Source organism: Homo sapiens, chromosome 7, assembly GCF_000001405.40.
Source record: "Homo sapiens chromosome 7, GRCh38.p14 Primary Assembly".
NCBI classification, from domain to species: Eukaryota; Metazoa; Chordata; class Mammalia; order Primates; family Hominidae; genus Homo; species Homo sapiens.
In genome coordinates, this window is record NC_000007.14 from 135,797,400 (window position 1) to 135,802,054 (window position 4,655).

A 4,655-nucleotide genomic window follows, 5' to 3' on the forward strand; every position below is an offset into this window, starting at 1 on the left:
CCTGCCTTCAAAACCCTGCAGTTTTCTTCCTTCCTTCCTTCCTTCCTTCCTTCCTTCCTTCCTTCCTTCCTTCCTTCCTTCCTTTCTTTCTTTCTTTCTTTCTTTCTTTCTTTCTTTCTTTCTTTCTTTCTTTCTTTCTTTCTTTCTTTCTTTCTTTCTTTCTTTCTTTCTTTGGCAGAATCTCACTCTGTTGCCCAGACTGGAGTGCAGTGGTGTAATCTAAACTCACTGCAAGCTCCACCTACTGGGTTCAAATGAGTCTTTGGCCTCAGCCTCCCGAGCAGCTGGGACCACAGGCATGCACCACCACACCCGGCTAATTTTTGTATTTTTAGTAGAGATGGAGTTTTGCCATGTTGTCCAGGCTGGTCTAGAACTCCTGACCTCAGGTGATCCGCCTACCTCAGCCTCCCAAAGTGCTGGGATTACAGGTGTGAACCACCACGCCTGGCCAGAACCCTTCAGTTTTCTTTAACACTTCGGAAGTTGATGATCACCATCCATCTCAGCTGCTGGGGACTCCCCAGCTTCTTCCACAAACATTTGGCATGTGCCAACCATGTGCTCTCCTTGCAGTCAGGCACCTCTCTGGTGTGGTGTTTCCAGGTTAGTGGATCCAATGCTATTAAGTTGGTGCAAGAGTAATTGGTTTGTTCTACAAATACTTTTAATGGCAAAAACCACAATTACTTTTAGCACCAAACTAATAGTTATACCACAATGATTTTGTTAGCCTTAGGCAGAGGGGTGTCTTAAATTACTTGCATTTAGACGTTGCCAAAATAGTAAAATTATTTTAATAGCCTAAGAATAAGTTCAGGGTCCTTGAGCCTCCACAATGTAAATAAAAGGTTTTTTTCTGATCGCTTGTAAGTGGCAAAATAAATAGTCCTCTGGCACTCTTCAGTATTTAGAAGCTGTTTGACTGGAGGCAAACATACACAGACTGGTTTGCTCTTCGGATAGGGAAAGTCTTTCTCTCTTCCTCACCCCATGTTTCTCCCTTGCCTCTTCCACATGTTCAGAAGCATGGGAGAGCAACCTGCCCTTCCCTCTCTTAGCTTCTCTGCAGGATGGCGGAGTGGCTTGTCTAGTTGGTGAAATGGGAGAGGGGCTCTGAGCACGTGCAGGGCAGCACCTTCTCGGCTAAGCACAAATGCTAAGTCAACACGATTTGCTCTATACAGCATTTTCCAAATTCGCCTGTGCTGGAATTTATGTTTTCTCTGCTCATTGTCTGAATTTTACATAAGCCAGCTATCAGCAGGGACCTACCAAGGTCACAGTAAATAGCTAAACTTGGCTTGAACCTACAGTTTCTTCCCACTCTGGGGATAGAGAGGGGCTGATGTAGTCAGGGTCACTGCAGCCTCCAGGACCCCAAGTCTTTGCAGGTAGTCTCTGTCCCACATCACAGCCACCCAGATGTGACCACAGCTGCTTCTGAAGTCGCCAGAAAGTCCCATTCACCCCAGTCACAGCCGGGGGTTGAGTATGTTTCCTTGCAGAGAGGGGCATTCCGCCTCTCTAGGCAGCTTCCCGTTACCTCGCTGACACCCCCCTTCACCTTCCTGTCTTTCTTTTCACCTCTTTCCTCCCACCCATCCACCCTGCCTCCATACCAACCACGGGAAGCCCAGGCCATGCTCTCCTCACAGACCTTGTGCCCACCACACCCATGCCCCTCAAGGGCTCACTATTTAACCCTAGTACTTCCCAAGTAACCCTTCCAACAAAGGAGTTTCCTCTCAAAGAGGAATTTTGGTGGCAGCTATTTCAGATGGTATTTTTTCATCCCCAGGACCGCTTGTACTGCCTTTATGGTACGTAGTTTACCCACAGCACATCTCCCTGTGGCCAGGGACAGCATGGAACCCCATCACTACTTGTTGCTGCCCACAGGGAAATGTCCCCACTGATTTCCGCTCAGTTATCACTCAGTCAGGGACTCAGCTTTCCTTCGCGGTCCCTTACCCAGGTTCCTGACCCGAAGGTTAGGGGGACGTACACGTGTCCGGGACGTTGTCTACAGGAGAACTTGGCAGAGGCTTCTGTGGGGGCAGCTCACCCTCCTTGCTGGACTTCTCTGACAGAGGAACCTTCTTTCTTCTGCTTAGGGTGCTCCTCATCCTTCTGGAATCCAGACCATCCTCCACTCCTGTTTTCAGTGGCCACCATCTTTTCTCTCTCCTTCCTCAACCCTCTGAGGAGAAAAGTATTTGTGTTTCACTGAAGTGGAAGTGAGTGTTTTCTTTGGACCTTTGTTTCTGCATTGGGGTGTAGTCTGGGGAAGAGAAAATGGCCATGGGGTATAGGTAACAGAGAAGAGGGGCAAGAAATATGCACACAGCCATGTAAGGTAAGGGTTCACAGGCTGTACACTGTGCAAATGCGGGAGTCCCATTCACACAGTGATATGACATGAAAGTGGATTCACAACCTGATGAAAATGCCACCTTTGAGCTCTGCCTTCTCTCAATCAAGGGCAGTGTGGACACATAGAGAGAGGAACGTGCTTTGAGCCTGAGAGATTCTGATTTGAGTCACCCCAGCTATGTTACTATCTCACCATATAGTCCTAGACAACTCCCTTAACATCTCAGAGCCCCAGTTTCCTTATTTATAAAAGGACAGCAATAGCGCCTCCTTTACAGAGTTGCTGTGAGGGTGAAATGAGATCTTTTGTAGTTGCCTGGCATGTAGTAGGTGCTCAATAAATGTCATTTCCCCAGAAGCATTGTCCTGGTTGAAGGAGTGTTTGCCAATTTCACTACTGGCCCTTTTCCAGTGAAAATATTCAGGGTCTTTCCGTAGATGGTGAAGGAATGTCTGTTGGAGGCTGAAGAAGATACAAGTATTCTTCTTACAGCATAATTGAAGAAAATAATGAATTTATCAAGATACGTGGCCAGTTGAGGCATCCCAGAAAGTTGAGTTTTAACAACAACTAAGACAACGTATAGAGCACGAAATGTTAGGCACAGTTTTAAGCCTCTTCCATGTATTATTGTGCCATTGAAAATGGACCCTTCTGGGACACAGCATTCAAGACTCTGGGATTTTGTGTCTTTGTAAAAGGGAGAGAAGATGTCTTTTTATTTATTTATTTTGAGAAGATGTCTTTTCTTTGCTTCATATCCACCCTCCTGGCATTGTCTGGTACATTATATGTCTTTGCGTCCCCACATCTGGCCTGTTCCTATCAGCATTCTCTCTCTTTTGAGCAGTTCCTTATCTCTGAGCAATGAACTGAGCCATTTCCCAAAGATGGGCATAATCCGTGGGTCTCCTGCGTAGGCGGGAGCCAGCTTGTACTGGCTGTGGAGAGCTGACGGGGGCAGCTTTTCCCAGCTCTTCAGCAATGAGGTCTCGCTAGTCCTTGAAATCAGCCACCATGCGAGAGTTTGCATCAGGGAAATCAGCAAATGCTACCCATCGAGACCACTCCCTCCCGGGTAGCAACACCGTGGCTGGCCCCACACATTGGGAAGAAAAGCTCAGCAGGAGGTTTCAAACTTGGATGGAAGAGCTGGTAGAAAACCTTTGTTTCATAGACATGCTTTAAAGGTGGAATTTCAGGTAGGAAGTCTTTCTGCATCTATTAAACTCAAAATTGAGGAAGAGAAGTAACAGGTCTTCAAAAACTAGGCTGAAAGATGTCCTCCGCGGACCAGGTACATCTTTAGTATAACAATCGTGGCTGGCAACAGCTTAACACGCTCAGGGACATCTTCATGTTTCTCATAATGCAACGTTTCAGGAAACTCTGGAAAGTAAACACGAGGTCACAGATTCAGTTCTGGTGAACTAAAACTCAAAAAAATGGTTCAGCATATCCTGAACTCAGTGTTTGTACACAAGATGGCGCTCTCTTCTTAGGAGAAGACAATTGGAACACTTGCTAACCCCTGAACTCTCTTTGCATGTTGTGATCGATCGCATTGGTGCAATTGGTGTGAGCTGAGCAATATTAAGGTCAAAATCATTGGCTTGATGCCTTATAAATGCATTTCTGTGAATATACGAGTTAACACTAATTATTTCCATTCCTGGGGAGGGGAAGGGTAGGAGAAAAGACTAAGCCAACTGCAAACCCCGTTGCTGGTGAGTCTTCTGTTCACAGACAGAGAGGAAATTAGAACTGATCTCTGTGTTCACATAAGTGGCCAAAGAGTCCTTAGTCTCCCAATGGGAGACAAAGCTGGGTGTCCAAATTCCTCTGTAGGACCCTGCATCTGAATTCACGGGCCGCCTCTCCCCTAACCCCCGCCCCGCCGTGCCCCTCATCCCTACAGGTCGTTTGCTATACATCACCAGTTCTGTAAATTACAGACACAGTCCCTGTCCCTCTTCCAACTTGGCACAGATTCAGGCACTGACCAATCTACTTTAGGTGCCCTGTCTTCTCCCAGCCCTGGCTAACTTGCTGGCTCTGGAATACCCATCTTCTCTGGCAGTTCACCATATCTGAGTGCCCCAGCTCAAAGCCTAGCCTTTTCCTTTGGCCCATTTTGGTCACAGATGCCAGCTTTCACCCTCTAACCCAGACTGGAACAATGGTCTTAGAGGCCACTTGCCCTATGGCCTGGCTAGAGGTCCCTCCAGCCATCACCTCTGGTATTGTCTGCTGGGTTTTCCGCTGATTGTGGTCCCTC

The 4,655-nt window shown here is 47.2% G+C and overlaps 1 annotated feature.

The window, feature by feature from the left end:
• Positions 1,675–1,895: a silencer, noted in NCBI's record as "fragment chr7:135483822-135484042 (GRCh37/hg19 assembly coordinates)". NCBI's record gives its function as "represses an EF-1alpha promoter that drives an FKBP-Casp9 reporter gene in an ReSE screen in K562 erythroleukemia cells {active_cell/tissue: K562}" and the evidence as "EXISTENCE:reporter gene assay evidence [ECO:0000049][PMID:32094911]".